At 53.8% G+C, this 14,941-nt stretch overlaps 2 protein-coding genes and 1 long non-coding RNA gene across 3 annotated transcripts in view, besides 4 other annotated features; 1 reads left to right on the top strand and 2 right to left on the bottom strand.

Moving 5' to 3' along the window:
* The window catches only part of SLC12A5 (solute carrier family 12 member 5), a 38,465-nt gene extending 37,425 nt beyond the window's left edge, over positions 1–1,040 (bottom strand). The window contains exon 1 of the mRNA NM_001134771.2: positions 840–1,040. Within this exon, the coding sequence (NP_001128243.1) occupies positions 840–960 (121 nt within the window). The 5' untranslated portion in view covers positions 961–1,040. The remainder of the gene's footprint in view (positions 1–839) is intronic.
* Positions 603–962: a silencer, noted in NCBI's record as "silent region_12971". NCBI's record gives its function as "represses an Ori minimal core promoter by ATAC-STARR-seq in GM12878 lymphoblastoid cells {active_cell/tissue: GM12878}" and the evidence as "EXISTENCE:reporter gene assay evidence [ECO:0000049][PMID:35858748]".
* Positions 653–9,224, top strand: SLC12A5-AS1 (SLC12A5 and MMP9 antisense RNA 1). Its single transcript, NR_147699.1, has 3 exons — positions 653–1,202; positions 2,878–2,995; positions 7,938–9,224. It is a non-coding gene; the product is annotated as an SLC12A5 and MMP9 antisense RNA 1 (long non-coding RNA).
* Positions 983–1,142: a silencer, noted in NCBI's record as "silent region_12970". NCBI's record gives its function as "represses an Ori minimal core promoter by ATAC-STARR-seq in GM12878 lymphoblastoid cells {active_cell/tissue: GM12878}" and the evidence as "EXISTENCE:reporter gene assay evidence [ECO:0000049][PMID:35858748]".
* Positions 6,165–13,818, bottom strand: MMP9 (matrix metallopeptidase 9). Its single transcript, NM_004994.3, has 13 exons — positions 13,662–13,818; positions 12,628–12,860; positions 12,095–12,243; positions 11,676–11,804; positions 11,410–11,583; positions 10,979–11,152; positions 10,413–10,589; positions 10,144–10,299; positions 9,192–9,471; positions 8,930–9,069; positions 8,452–8,602; positions 8,252–8,355; positions 6,165–6,476 (listed from the first exon to the last, which is right to left on the bottom strand). Exons 1-13 carry the CDS (start codon positions 13,797–13,799, stop codon positions 6,358–6,360), a joined length of 2,124 nt encoding a protein of 707 aa, NP_004985.2. The 5' UTR covers positions 13,800–13,818; the 3' UTR covers positions 6,165–6,357.
* Positions 8,286–8,505: a silencer, noted in NCBI's record as "silent region_12969". NCBI's record gives its function as "represses an Ori minimal core promoter by ATAC-STARR-seq in GM12878 lymphoblastoid cells {active_cell/tissue: GM12878}" and the evidence as "EXISTENCE:reporter gene assay evidence [ECO:0000049][PMID:35858748]".
* Positions 9,872–10,382: an enhancer, noted in NCBI's record as "H3K4me1 hESC enhancer chr20:44640983-44641493 (GRCh37/hg19 assembly coordinates)". NCBI's record gives its function as "activates a minimal SCP1, AML or CMV promoter by ChIP-STARR-seq in primed H9 embryonic stem cells {active_cell/tissue: H9 hESC(primed)}" and the evidence as "EXISTENCE:reporter gene assay evidence [ECO:0000049][PMID:30033119]".

The following is a 14,941-nucleotide window of genomic DNA, read 5'->3' as shown; positions in this document are numbered from 1 at the left end:
GGAAGACGCCCCCAACCCCGCCTGAGCTGGCTCCTCCCAACCCTTACGGAGCTCGAGCAGACAAGGAGCTAAGTGGGTCCCCAAGAGTCGGGATCAGCGACCCTACGGCATCCTCCCTGAATCTCGCTGCCCAGGATCCATACTAACTTCCCTGCCTCCCGTCTCCTTCCCGGGATCCCCAGTCGCTGTCCGCTAAGCCTCCAGGGAGCTAGAGGATTGGAGGATCCGCCAGGCACCGAGGACCCGCTGACCTGGCACCTGCCTCGGCAACCCTGACTCAGTTTTCCTCCCGCCCTCGACCCCACCCCCCTCCCAGGCCCCACTCCCATCCTCCTGGCCCAACTCATTCCCTACTAGTCCCGCCCTTTCCTGACCCCAAACCAACCTAGTCCCGCCGCCTCCCCTTTAGGGGCTCCTGACCATCCCCCTTCAACACACAGCCCCCTTTTTCCCTAGTTCCACCTCCTCACTCTGGTCCCGCTCCCTACTCGAGATGTCCCCGCCCCTTTAGTGCCCTACGGCCTACTCTCCACCTTGACCCCGGCCTTTCCATCACCAGACCCGCCCCCTTCGCCTCCGTCCAAACCCCTTCCCTGGCCCCACCCCTTTCCCTCGTGGCCACGCCCACCTCGCGTTTGGCCCCTCCCCCTCCACACTTTGCGTTCCGCGGCCCCGGCCCCTTGGTTTCCTAGTCCTGGCTCCATTCCCCTCTCAGGCCTAGGGCTGGGACCCCTCCCCGCCCCCGGTCTTGGCCCTGCCCCCTTCAACAGACGGTCCGCCCCGGCCCCTCCCCCTCGTCCCGCCCGGCCCTGGCAGGCCCCGCCCCCTGCGGCCTCTACCTTTGACGTCTTCCCCCGGGAGGTGGCGGGGGTCTGCGACCGAATGCCGGCGGGACTCTGGGTCAGGGCTTCTGGCGGGCCCTGCGGGGGGCAGCGAGGTGACCGTGAACCTGCGGCTCATGGCGCGGAAAGGAGCCAGGCGGCCGCGGCAAGGTCCGGGATCGCACAAGTGGCTGCAACCAGGCTCTAGGAGGGAGAAAGAGCGGATCCCCCAACCCCCTCCGCCCGCCCGCCCCCCGCGAGACGCGGCGCCGCGCAGGGTCCTAGTGCCCGCTGTGCGAAGGGTTCCTGAATCTGGCCACTTCGCTGGGAGGCCCTGGGCTCCCCAGTGCCACCCGAAGGGCCTGAGGAGGCCATCTGCAGGTGAGAGTCGTCCCTACAACGGGGGCACCTCTGTTAGGGTCTCCTAAACACCTGGGGCTCATTCATTCATTCATTCATTCATTCGGCACATGTCGATAGCGCTCCTGTGTTTCGGTCAATGGTGCGAGGGATACGTCGGTGGATGAGATCCACTGGCTTCTTGCCCTCAAGTGGCTTAAATTCTAATAAGGAGAAAAAGATTATAAGTGAGCAAATGCATAGATGAGATCATTTGAGATTGGATGTATGTTTAAAACTAGGGCCATGGGATAATGGGTAAGAGGGAGGACTACTTTAGGGGTGGCCTGAGAAGGCCTCCTAGAAGATGTGGTATTTGAGCTGAGACCTCACTGATGAGAAGGGCCAGCTATGCAAAGATCTAGGGGGAAGAGTTCTCTAGAAGAAGAAACAGCAAATGCAGAGCCTTGGAGTGAGAAGGAGTCCCGACTGTCCAAGAAACAGCAAGGCCATTGTGTCTGGAAGAGAGTGAGTGGAGAAGAGAGTGACTGGAGATGAGGGAGGAGAGAAGGGCAGATCATGTGGTCTTCTGAAGGCTTTGGGGAGGATCCTGGATTTTTTGAGCAGGGGAATGATGTGATCCAATTTATAATTTAACAGGATCATTCTGGCTGCTGGGCGAAGGTTCAACTAAAGAATGGCAAGAGTAGAAGCTGGAAATCTAATTAGGAGGCTCCTGCAGACCCCAAGCTGGGGGGTGATGACAGCCAGACTAGAGTGGTGGCAGTTGTCTGATTCCAGTTAGGTTTTGAAAGTGAAACCATCAGGACCCACTGATGGATCGGATGTGACACGTGACCATAAGAGTGAAGTCAAGGAGAAATCCTGGCAATTCACACACTGCTGGTGGGAGTGTAGTTAGGCAAAAACTACTTTGGGAAACTATTTGGAAACATCTACTGAAGGTGAACGTACACATATCCTTCAACCCAGCAGTTTTTCTCCTAGGTATATACCCGAAAGAAATGACTACTTGTGATCACCAAAAGACATTTACCATGAATGTTCATAGGGGCATTGTTCATAATAGCCCCAAATTGGAATCTACCAAATGCTTGTCAACAGTAAAATAGAGAAATAAGTCGTAGTACCTTCACACAATGGAATACCATCTACAATTCTCAGAACAATATGGATGAATCTCACAAATAGAACCTTGATAAAAAAGAGTCCAGACACAAAAGAATACATACCCTATAACACTATTTAAATACAGTAAAAAATAGTCAAAGTCTATCTAAGCTGTTAGAAGTAATGATAGTGGCACTGGGCGCGGTGGCTCACACCTGTAATCCCAGCACTTTGGGAGGCCAAGGCTGGTGGATCATGAGGTCACGAGTTCAAGACCAGCCTGGCCAAGATGGTGAAACCCCATCTCTACTAAAAATACAAAAATTAACCATGTGTAGTGGTGGGTGCCTGTAATCCTAGGTATTTGGGAGACTGAGGCAGAGAATTGCTTGAACCTGGGAGGCGGAGGTTGCAGTGAGCAGAGATCATGCGACTGCACTCCAGCCTGGGTGACAGAAAAAAAAAAAAGTAATGATAGTGGTACCCCTTGGGGAGAAGAGGTAGTGATTGCAAGCAGGCTTCTAGGGTGCTGATAATGTTTTGTTTCTTTCTTTTTTTTTTTTTTTTTTTTTGTCTCTTGAGACAGAATCTCACTCTGTCGCCCAGGCCAGAGTACAGTGTCATGATCTTGGCTCACTGCAACCTCCACCTCCCAGTTCAAGAAATTCTCCTACCTCAGCCTCCCAAGTAGCTGGGATTACAAGGTACCCACGACCGTGCCCAGCTAATTTTTGTATTTTTAGTGGAGAGAGTTATTCACCATGTTGGCCAGGCTGGTTTTGAACTCCTGATCTCAGATGATCCACCTGCCTTGGCCTTCCAAAGTGCTGGGATTATAGGCATGAGCCACCATGCCCAGCCTCTTGTTTCTTGACCTGGTGCTGGTTACACACTTGTGTTCCATTTGTGAAAATGTCTTCAAATGTACACTTATGATAGATACATTTGTATATTTATTATATTATGGCAATGGTTCTCAACTGGGAGCAATGTTGACCACCAGGGAATGTTTGGCAATATTCAGAGACATTTTTGGTTATCACAACTGGAGCAGGGGCTAGTACCAGCATCTAGGGGCTAAAGGCCTCTTGGGCCCTCTAGGTTTGTACCAGGGCTGCCTGGCCATGAGTCACAGTTCAACATTACCCTGCTGCACCCCATCCCCACACTGGGGCCTTCCTTAGCAGAGAGGGCTGACCCTGAATGGGCCTGGCATCTGGCCGTGGATCCTGTCACCTCCTAGAGGAAGACACCAAACATGCTAGAAGGTACAGTGTAGATGTACAGTGTAAGACAATCCCCCACAACAAAGTATCCAGCCCAAAATGTCAATAGTGTAGAGGCTGAGAAACCCAGTACTAGAAAAGAAGTTTAAATAACTGATTCCTAGATTTTAGGACTGATTAGGTGTTCAGTTTGATTGAGGGTGGATGATGCTGTCTCTTATTAAAGTGGTAACAACAGAGGAGCACGTTTGGAAGGTGAAACCCAGGAGTCAGTTTGGACCCGTTAGGTTGAGAGGTCTGTTTGCCAGCTAAGGAGCCATGTAGAGTAGGCAGTTGAACATGAGTCTGGAGCTCGGGGCAGGGGAGAGGAGGTTATGGTAGGAAACATAAATTTCACGGTCTTTAGCAGAGAGATGCTATTTAAGGCTGTGGGCTACCAGACATCACAGGGAATGAGTATACACAGAGCAGAGGATTCCCACGATTGAGCACAAGGGTGCCTCTGTCACCAGAAGAGGAAAATCCACCCAGTGAGGTAGGAGGAGACCCAGAAGTAAGGTTCCAGAGGCCGAGAGTTTCAGGAAGAAGGGCAGGATCCACTGTGTCAATGTGGGGAGAGTTGGTGTGGGATGAGCAGAGAGGAGCTCCTGTCACATCTGGCTACAAGAAGGTCATAAATGGCTTTGAAGAGGGTGACTTTGGTGGTGTAGTGGGGTGGGAGCCAGGCTGGAAATGGCTGAGGAGAGAATGGGAATTGAGGAAGTGGAGACAGTGAGTAGAGACCATGCTTTTGGGAAGTTTTATTGTGAATAGGGATAGGAAGGTAGAGAAATAGACTAGTATCTAGTGGGAGGCAGGGGTTAAGACAGATTGTAAACAAGCCATGGCGGGGAATGTTTGTACGCCAAGTGGGAGTGGGTCATTTGAGCAAGAAACAGATGAAAGAGGAAGCTCAGGAGGGCAGTTTTCTGGACTCCTACTTAAATTCCCACGTGGGCCCTGATCAAACCCATCATCTCCACTCACGGGCCCCAATCTTTCAGTCAAGTCCCTTTGCTAACCTGTAAGGTCAAATTCATATTCAGCTTGGCATTCAGGACTTCTCTCATCTAGCCCAAACTAGCACTGCTATCTTAACCATTCTGGAATCCTCTCCATTCCCTCTTAGCCACCTGCTACTACCCCATGCTGGAGTTCTGAGCCATTTGAAGTTCTCCAGACACCCACTGCTTTTTCTCTTCTTTTTCTCTTCGTGCACTTGCACCAAGAACCCACATTCAAATCCCACTCTTATCACTCACTAGCTATGAGACTTTGGGTGAGTTGTATAACTCTCTGTGCCTTAGTTTCCTTATCTGTAAAACAAGGGATTGGTGATGGCAGTAATAATAGTACATACAAAGTAATAGGAGTACCTATCTCCTCTGGTTGTTTTGTCACACAAAATGCACATAGAACAGTGCCTGGCACATAGTGCTGTACCGTGGATAGCTACTAACGTCAGGTATATGATCCATATTTTATTTATCCACTGACTTACTCCTGGGCAGCTAGGTTATTGCCAGTTTTTCACTAACAAACAATGCTGCAATCAACATCCTTCTATGTGTTGTCTTGTGCACACATGTGAGGGTCAGAAAGTAGTTACATTTTTAGGTTTAGTGGTTCTTGGTAAATTACCCTGTAAGAAGATTGTCCCTTGCACAGGAAGAAGCTCGTTCATCCTTTCTGATTCAGTTCCGGTTCAGATGTCATCTTGACTGAGAAACGTTCCTGGACCTCAACCACAACACAGACACACACACATGTGCACACACACACACCATTATTGTAGAATAAAAGATCATGCACTGCACACTCCCCAAGTGTGATCCCACCGCCACCAGCCATAGAATCACCCTTGTAAATAGGTCAGACTCTCTGGAGGTGGAGCCTGGAGTTGCATTTTAAGCAAGTTCCAAGGGGAATCTTATGCATTCTAAAGTCTAACTCATTTCTCTATCCCCATTGCCCAGTACAGGGCCTGGCTCCATGTAGGGGCTCAATAAATGTTTGATGAATGAATAAACAGGTTGATCATTTCCTTGACTGTAAAATAGAAATAATCACATCATACTTTCCTAACAGGAATGATTGAATATGTTAACATTTACAAAGTGCCTAGAACACTATTTTTTTTTTTTTTGAGACGGAGTCTTGCTCAGTCACCCAGGCTGGAGTGCAGTGGCGTGATCTCGGCTCACTGCAAGCTCCACCTCCCAGGCTGGAGTGCAGTGGCGTGATCTCGGCTCACTGCAAGCTCCACCTCCCAGGTTCAAGCCATTCTCCTGCCTCAGCCTCCCAAGTAGCTGGGACTACAGGCGCCCGCCACCACGCCCGGCTAATTTTTTCTATTTTTTTTTTAGTAGAGACAGGGTTTCATCGTGTTAGCCAGGGTGGTCTCAATCTCCTGACCTCGTGATCCGCCTGCCTCGGCCTCCCAAAGTGCTAGGAGTGAGCTACCGTGCCCGGCCTAGAACACTTTCTGGCACGTAGAAAGCACTCTATCAGTTATTTGTTTTTCCTTTTTTTTTTTTTTTTTGCACTCTATCAGTTAAATACATACATGCATACATACGTGCATACATATATAAATAAAGTCTGCTTCTAAAGGTTAGAGAATCCAAGTTTATTAGAAACACTCCAACAAAAAACAAAGGTGAGAAGAGAGGGCCCAGCCCACCTCCACTCCTCCCTTTCCTCCAGAACAGAATACCAGTTTGTATCCGGCAAACTGGCTCCTTCCCCAGGGTTGGTCCCAGTGGGGATTTACATGGCACTGCCAAAGCAGGACGGGAGCCCTAGTCCTCAGGGCACTGCAGGATGTCATAGGTCACGTAGCCCACTTGGTCCACCTGGTTCAACTCACTCCGGGAACTCACGCGCCAGTAGAAGCGGTCCTGGCAGAAATAGGCTTTCTCTGCAGGAGACAGGCAGGCATAAGAGGAGTGATTCTAATTCTCCCACATATACAGAAATAGGAACAAGATCTTGACAACCATCTCTTCTGCCATTTCTAGAACTTTCTAAGGTTTTCACATATCACCTCCATCCCCCCAACCTGTGAGATGCTGTGAGGTTCTGTGAGATGCTGGAGGGCACAGACCTCAGTGCCCAAAGCACTGCCACAGAGCCTAGCACACAGTAGGTACACCATACACATTTTGTGAATGAATTAACAAATGAATAGACCAACTATCTTAATGCTCAGAACAATTCATTCAACGCTCATTCATTGAACAAATCTGTTCATTCATCATTTACTGAGCATCTACTATGTGCTTTGTTCAAGATACTGGGGATAAGCAGAAAAAATGCAGGCATGATCTCAATTATCTTGGTGCTTACACTCTAGTGAGGCAAGAGACAATTAAGCAAACACATAAATAAATGAGATTGGTTTTGAAAATATAGAAAGCGGCTGGGTGCGGTGGCTCATGCCTGTAATCCCAGCACTTTGGGAGGCTGAGGCGGGTGGATCACGAGGTCAGGAGTTCAAGACCAGCCTGGCCAAGATGGTGAAACCCCGTCTCTACTAAAAAATACAAAAAATTAGCCAAGCGTGGTGGCAGGCACCTGTAATCCCAGCTACTTGGGAGGCTGAGGCAGGAGAATCGCTTGAACCCGGGAGGCGGAGGTTGCAGTGAGCTGAGATCGTGCCACTGCACTCCAGCCTGGGCGACAGAGCAAGACTCCATCTCAAAAAAAAAAAAAAAGAAAAAAGAAAAAAAAAGAAAATATAGAAAGCTATGGAGAAAATAAAAACAAGTAAATAGATAATAAGCATCAAAGAAGGCCTCATTGAAGCAATGGCCTTAGCACTGAAACCTGAAGGAAGACAGTGGGATGGCCCAGTGACAATCTGGAGGGGAAGCTTTCCAGACAGAGGGAACAACTGGCACAAAGGCTGTAAGCTAGGAATGACCTTGATCTGTTCAAAGAGCAGCCAGTGTGGGTGGAGCAGAGTAAATAACAGGAGGAGTGGGAAGAGATGAGAACACGGGGGTGGAGTGTCAGATCCTCTTAATTTCTTTGACCTTGGAATTCATCTGGGGTCACTCCCAAGACCATTGCCCTTCACTCCTACCCCCTCTCTAATCTCATGGAATTTGTTAAAGGTCCTGGACAGCCAGTATGGTTTGGGCTGGGGTGTTTATAAAGAAGATGGCAAAAAAAATGACAGACTCGAAAAAGATTTTGGTGGCAGGAAATCTTGTTCACCTTGTCAACTGTTTGGATGTGACTGGTAAGAAAGGGAAGTCAAGTGTAATTCCAGCTATAGTCCCCATATTACAGATGGGGAAACTGAGGCTCGAAGAGTAGAGAAGCAGTGACTTGCCCAAAGTCACAGAGCTGTGAATTGTCTTATCTCTCCCTGTAGCACAGTGCCTGGCACATTATCGGCACTTGATGACTGTTGTCTAATAACTGAGCTTCCATACAAACCACCTGCCGTCCTGTACTGAAGGAGAAAGAGCTTCCAGCCGGGGAGGCAGGAAATCTGGGTCCTGGTCTTGGTTGCATCCCTGACTTCCTAAATGACCTGGAGAAGGCCTCTGCCTCTGCTGGGATCTTGTCTGTGCTGGGGCATTTGTTTCCATTTCCAAGGGCTTTTTCTTCCTCGCTCAGAATTTGACCACTCACTAAGAGGAGCTTAGTGTGGTGTCTCACGAAGGGATCCTCCTCAGCCCTCACCTCGGTACTGGAAGACGTCGTGCGTGTCCAAAGGCACCCCGGGGAACATCCGGTCCACCTCGCTGGCGCTCCGGGGATCCACCATCTGCGCCTTCACGTCGAACCTGCGGGCAGGCGCGGAGGAGACAGGTGCTGAGCCGGCTAGCGGACGGACCGACGGCGCCCGGGCTCCCCCTGCCGGCGGCCGCGGCGGCGCTCACCTCCAGAGGCGCCGCCCGCTGAACAGCAGCATCTTCCCCCTGCCACTCCGGAGGGCCCCGGTCACCTGGGCCACGTCGGCTCCCAGGCCCAGCTTGTCCAGACGCCTCGGGCCCAGCACCGACGCGCCTGTGTACACCCACACCTGGCGCCCTGCAGGGGAGGAGGGTCACGTCGGTTTGGGGGCGCAGAGGGAGCACGTACTCCTAGAACGCGAGGAGGGAGATTCCGGCGAGGCCTTTCCTAGCCCGCGTGCCCGCAGTCCCTGCAACCCAGGGGCAGAGGCGCTGGGTAGAGCGACGCGAGGGCGTGGAGAGGAGGGGGCAGAAACTCAGCCGCCCCTACGTTTGCTAAACTGCGTCCGCCAGGGGGCGTATTTTTCTAAAACGCACAAGACGTTTCGTGGGTTATCGATGGTCTCTTGAGCCTCCTTGACTGATGGGGATTGACCGGGCGGGGGAGGGAAAGTAGGTAACTAACCAGAGAAGAAGAAAAGCTTCTTGGAGAGCCGCTCCTCAAAGACCGAGTCCAGCTTGCGGGGCAGCGCGGGCCACTTGTCGGCGATAAGGAAGGGGCCCTGCGGCCGGCTCCCCCTGCCCTCAGAGAATCGCCAGTACTTCCTGAGAAAGCGAGGAGGGAAAGGACGGGCTCTAAGCCTTGGACACAGGGCCAGTGGGCGGGAAGGGACGGGCAGCCCCTCCGCAAAGCCCCCTCCCGCATCCACACAACCCCGCCTCCTCACCCATCCTTGAACAAATACAGCTGGTTCCCAATCTCCGCGATGGCGTCGAAGATGTTCACGTTGCAGGCATCGTCCACCGGACTCAAAGGCACAGTAGTGGCCGTAGAAGGGCCAGCAGTGGGGGGACCTGTGGGGCCAGCTGAGGGGGGACCTGTGGGGCCAGCTGTGGGGCGCTCTGAGGGGTGGACAGTGGGGGGTCCGGTGGGGCAGACCGTCGGGGGAGCCGTGGGCTGCGGTGTGGTGGTGGTTGGAGGCCGTGGCTCAGGTTCAGGGCGAGGACCTAAAAAGAGACACGGGGTGAGACTCTTCCTATTCCTGCATACCTCTGTACCCCTAGAACATCTGCTCCCCTAAGCTTCTCAGTGAAGCCTCCTCTGGCACACAGGCCCCTCCTCACTCAGCCTCCCTTCCCAAACCACAGGACTTTCTTCTTCTTCTTTTTCGTTTTAAGCGACATCCTCTATGGCCCAGGATGGAATGCAGTGGTGCAATCATAGCTCACTACAGCCTCGAACTCCTGGGCTCAAGAGATCCTCCCACCTCAGCCTCCAGAGTAGCTAGGACTACAGACATGTGCCTTCACGCCTTGCTCATTTATTTTTTGTAGAGATGGGAGTCTGGCTATGTTGCCGAGGCTGGTCTGGAACTCCTGGGCTTAAGCAATCCTCCCGCCTTGGGTCTCCCAAAGCCCTGGGATTAGAGGCGTGAGCCACCATGCCCAGAGTAGACTGGCTTTTGAAGTCACACCTATCTCTCTCTAGAGTCTCTTTATCACCACCTCTAAGCACTGACATGGCAGCGACTGGGCCCAGGCTCTGCTTCCAGACAGACGTTGAGGTCCCACCTCTCCTGCACGCCCCGTTCCTCCCCCGATCCCCAACCCCCAATTCTTTGGTACTGTGGCACAGCCACGCCCTTTCCCCTCCTCCTCCCATCCCTGCCCCTGCCTCACCATAGAGGTGCCGGATGCCATTCACGTCGTCCTTATGCAAGGGGGGCCCCTCAGTGAAGCGGTACATAGGGTACATGAGCGCCTCCGGCACTGAGGAATGATCTAAGCCCAGCGCGTGGCCGAACTCATGCGCCGCCACGAGGAACAAACTGTATCCTGGAGGGAGAGGGAGCCTGAGACGTGAGCGCCGGGCCGAGCCCCCAGCCCTGGCCACCCCACCACCACCACTGCCGGGAACCCCAGCCCCGGAGCCGCGGGACCACGCCTACCTTGGTCCGGGCAGAAGCCCCACTTCTTGTCGCTGTCAAAGTTCGAGGTGGTAGCGCACCAGAGGCGCCCATCTCCGCGGCCCTCGCTGGTACAGGTCGAGTACTCCTTACCCAGGAAAGTGAAGGGGAAGACGCACAGCTCCCCCGCCGAGTTGCCCCCCATCACCGTCGAGTCAGCTGGAGAGACCCAAGGCCTTGGATGAGCCAGATGGATGAGTCCAATAAGGAGTCAGGGGCCGACCCGACAGGGAGCTAAACAATCTTGGTGGCCTAGGGGGCGCTGTAGAGCACTCCTGAGAAGAGGCTAGACCCGTGGGCGGTGCCTGGGACACCAGACCAAGGAAGAGGCGGCCAGCTGGGCAGAAAAGGCCGAACCTTAGTGGCTGGGGCGGGGCCATTGGAAGTCAGGGATAGTGGTGGAAATGTGGTGTAGGTGGGCGGAGTCACGGTCGTCCTGAGGACCAATGAGAGTGGAAAGACAAACTGATGGGAGGGAAGAGCCGCGTTTTGGGGGCCAATACATGATGAGAGGGCGGGGCTGAACCTGGTAGACAGGGTGGAGGTACCTCGGGTCGGGCAGAAGCCGAAGAGCTTGTCCCGGTCGTAGTTGGCGGTGGTGGCGCACCAGCGGTAGCCGTCGGAGCGACCGTCCGTGGTGCAGGCGGAGTAGGATTGGCCTTGGAAGATGAATGGAAACTGGCAGGGTTTCCCATCAGCATTGCCGTCCTGGGTGTAGAGTCCTGGGGCGAGGAGGATGTGGGAAAGGGGGAGAAGGCGGAGACAGCACATTATAACCCCCAAGTGTGTCCTGTTCTTTGACCCATGGATGGTCTGCAGTTCATCCCATCTCTCATCATTTCTCAGATGAGAAAATTGGGCCCAGAGTGCGGGAGGGTGAATTGCAGGCCACACAGCACTAGTGGCAGAGCTGGAATTAGAACCCAGGACCATCAAGGGTGGTGGGCGCCCCCAGCCCTCGGCGAGCCCCCTCACTCACTCTCGCTGGGGCAGAAGCCAAACCGGTCGTCGGTGTCGTAGTTGGCCGTGGTACTGCACCAGGGCAAGCCGTCGGAGCGACCGTCGGTGGTGCAGGCAGAGTAGGAGCGGCCCTCGAAGATGAAGGGGAAGTGGCAGGCCGCGCCATCTGCGTTTCCAAACCGAGTTGGAACCACTGCAGGAGGAGGGGGGACCGGAGTTAGGGCGGCGGGTGATGAGTGGGAGAGAATGAAGGGAATCAGGGGCCAGGAGGACTCAGAATCTCACCGACGCCCTTGCCCAGGGACCACAACTCGTCATCGTCGAAATGGGCGTCTCCCTGAATGCCGGGGCCAGGAGGAAAGGCGTGTGCCAGGAGCCCGTCCTTCCCGTCGAAGGGATACCCGTCTCCGTGCTCTGAAGAAACAGGTCGAGAGGAAGAGGGTTAGCCGAGTACTGCTGCGCAGATTGTGCGCTGCCCAAGGCAAGGGCTCCGAAATAAGTGCGGGCTGAAATCCCGCCTGCGCGAAGCTCTCCCAGCCTGGCGCCCTGGCCCTGTGCACTGTCTGGCAGGAGGGGCCGTATAAGCCAGGGCAGCGCGGGCAGGCAAGAGGAAGCCGGGGCCACTGCTGCCTCCACGCTCTCCGTGGTCCTCCCTTCCCTGACCCCGCCCAGGTCTCTTGGATTTTCCCTCCTCACGTTCTCACCCGCGACACCAAACTGGATGACGATGTCTGCGTCCCGGCTGTACACGCGAGTGAAGGTGAGCGGCGTCACCGCGCTCCACAGTGCGAAGGCGCGGGCAAAGGCGTCGTCAATCACCGCCCGCGGCAAGTCTTCCGAGTAGTTTTGGATCCTGTAGCGTAAGAGCCAGAGGAAGGAGGTCAGAAGTGAAAGGCTGGAGCGGGGCAGCAGGGACACCCCATATCGCAGAGACTTCAACATACACAATGCTCTCTGCCGTCCACGCTCTCATCTATAAATTGCTTCCAGACTGTTTTTTTTTTTTTTTTTTTTGTCTACTTAGACCCTCACAATGGCCCTGGCAGGAGGACTTGGATTGCAAGAGCCATTTCCCTGAAGGAGAAACAGAGGCTCAGAGGTGGGGACACTCCCCAGGGGCCACACATTAAATAGTGAAACCCAGGGACGCGTCCAAGACAGGACATGTTCACCGCTGGCCCAAGAGCCAGACCTGGCCTCCCCGCCCCACCCCGCTGCCCCCACGGCCCCGGCTCACCAATAGGTGATGTTGTGGTGGTGCCACTTGAGGTCGCCCTCAAAGGTTTGGAATCTGCCCAGGTCTGGGACCCCGCACCGTGGGGTTCGCATGGCCTTCAGCGTGGCGCTATCCAGCTCACCGGTCTCGGGCAGGGACAGTTGCTTCTGGAGAAGCAGCAGCGCAGGCCCCAGAGATTTCGACTCTCCACGCATCTCTGCCACCCGAGTGTAACCATAGCGGTACAGGTATTCCTGTGGATGAAGGGACACACACATGCCAGATCTCTGACCCCTTTCTCTGCCCAGCTGGGGCCAAAGGACTCCCTCCAGACACTCATGGAGGGAGTCTTTTTTCTTTTTCTTTTTCGGAGAGACGGTATCAGCCCACTGCAGCCTGGACCTCCTGGACTCAAGCGATCCTCCCATCTCAGCCTTCTGCATAGCTGGAACTACAGGTGCACATCACTGTGCCTGGCTATTTCTTTAATTTTTTTGTAGAGACAGGATCTTACTATGTTGCCTAGGCTGGGCTCAAACTCCTGAGCTTCAGCGATCCTACCACCTCAGCCTCCCAAAGTGCTGGGATTACAAGTGTGAGCCGTCATGCCCAGCAGGGACTAACATTTAATAAAGCATTAAATGCTTTCCAGACACCAGTGCTTTCTGACCACCCAGGGATCTCCCCTCCTTAGACATCCTCAGCTCCTTCTCACCCCTGGATGCCTCTAGCCCATTTCTACCCCACAGCTGCATAAGGTTTGCCCCTGTTCACTCCCAGCCTATGCTTACCCCAGAACCCTCCAATGCCTCCCCCACCCCAAACCATTTCCCATTTCCCACCTAGGAAAGCCCCATTGCCCATTTCTGGCCATCACTGCTCAAAGCCTCCACAAGACCCCCCACTGCCTAACCCTGGACACCTCTGTTCTTCAGATACGCCCATCACCACCAACACACCCCTAAAGCATCTCCTCTGAGGCCCTGCATCCTCTCTGGGACACTCAACACCCTCACGGACAGCCCTCCCCAACTCTAGACTAGGTGTTTGCCCACCTCTGCCAGCTGCCTGTCGGTGAGATTGGTTCTCAGGTCTCCAGGGAAGAGCACAAGGGTGGACTGGCGCTGTCTGGGGGCAGCAAAGCAGCAGCCCAGCACCAGGAGCACCAGGACCAGGGGCTGCCAGAGGCTCATGGTGAGGGCAGAGGTGTCTGACTGCAGCTGCTGTTGTGGGGGCTTTAAGGAGGCGCTCCTGTGACCCCACCCCTCCTTGACAGGCAAGTGCTGACTCAGGGGTCAGGGTGTGTGTGTGTGTGTGTGTGTGTGTGTGTGTGTGTGTGTGTGTGTGGCAGCACCAGCATGAGAAAGGGCTTACACCACCTCCTCCTCTCTCCACTGCCCGCAGTCTCCACTGCCAAGTCAGGCAAGACCCCAGACCCGCAGGAAACCGCAGGCCCTCAGGGGAGGGGTAGGGTTTTGCAAACTGCAGAGCTTGTGGGAACTGTATGAAAGGGAGGGAGGGGGATGAAGCTGGAGGGATCCCCCATCCCTTGGTCTGAAAGCCTCCAGTGGTCAGCCAAGGGAAAGTGATGGAAGACTCCCTGAGACTTCTTTCTGAAACTAATGATCCCCCTGGCCCATCCTTGGCCTTTTGCAACACCCCCTCCCAGGTCAGATATCCTCCCCAAACCCCTCCCCACACTCCAGGCTCTGTCCTCTTTTTCCCTCCCTGACAGCCTTCTTTGACTCAGCTTCCTCTCCCTGCTTCATCTGGGGGCGGAAGGAATGGGCTCTGCTAGGCAAGGCTGGGGAATTCCACTGGGGCAACCCCCTGTCTTCCGCAGGCTGAATCTTCAGGGCAGTAAAGGGGACAGTAGCAGCCTCTAGAAAACAGCAGACATGGCTTTACTCTCTTCCTTCAGGACCTCGGGCAAATGTCTTACCACTTTGAAGTGTTTCCTCAGCTGTAAAAAAAAAAACGGGGGGTGGGGGGCTCTTTGTCCCTAAATTGATGTGAGGATTAAATGAGATCAAACATATAAAATGTTTAGAACACTGTAGGTTGTAAGTCCGCAACGGATGGTGGTGATTGGTTTTAATTACTAAGGCCAAGACCCAAGATTCAGGGCCAGGTATGGTGGCTCATTCCTGTAATCTTAGCACTTTGGGAGGCCGAGGTGGGAGGATTGCTTGAGCCCAGAAAGAAGGTCAAGGATACAGTGAGCCATGATTATGTCACTGCACTCCAGCCTGGGCAACAGAGCGAGACCCTGCCAAAAGACCATGATTCTAACTTGGAATCACCAAACCAGGTTATTGGGCTCTAAGCTGCAGTG

Source organism: Homo sapiens, chromosome 20 (genome assembly GCF_000001405.40).
Source record: "Homo sapiens chromosome 20, GRCh38.p14 Primary Assembly".
Taxonomy (NCBI): domain Eukaryota; kingdom Metazoa; phylum Chordata; class Mammalia; order Primates; family Hominidae; genus Homo; species Homo sapiens.
Note: the sequence above shows the minus strand (reverse complement) of the source record. Positions and strands in the feature narration are given on the sequence as shown.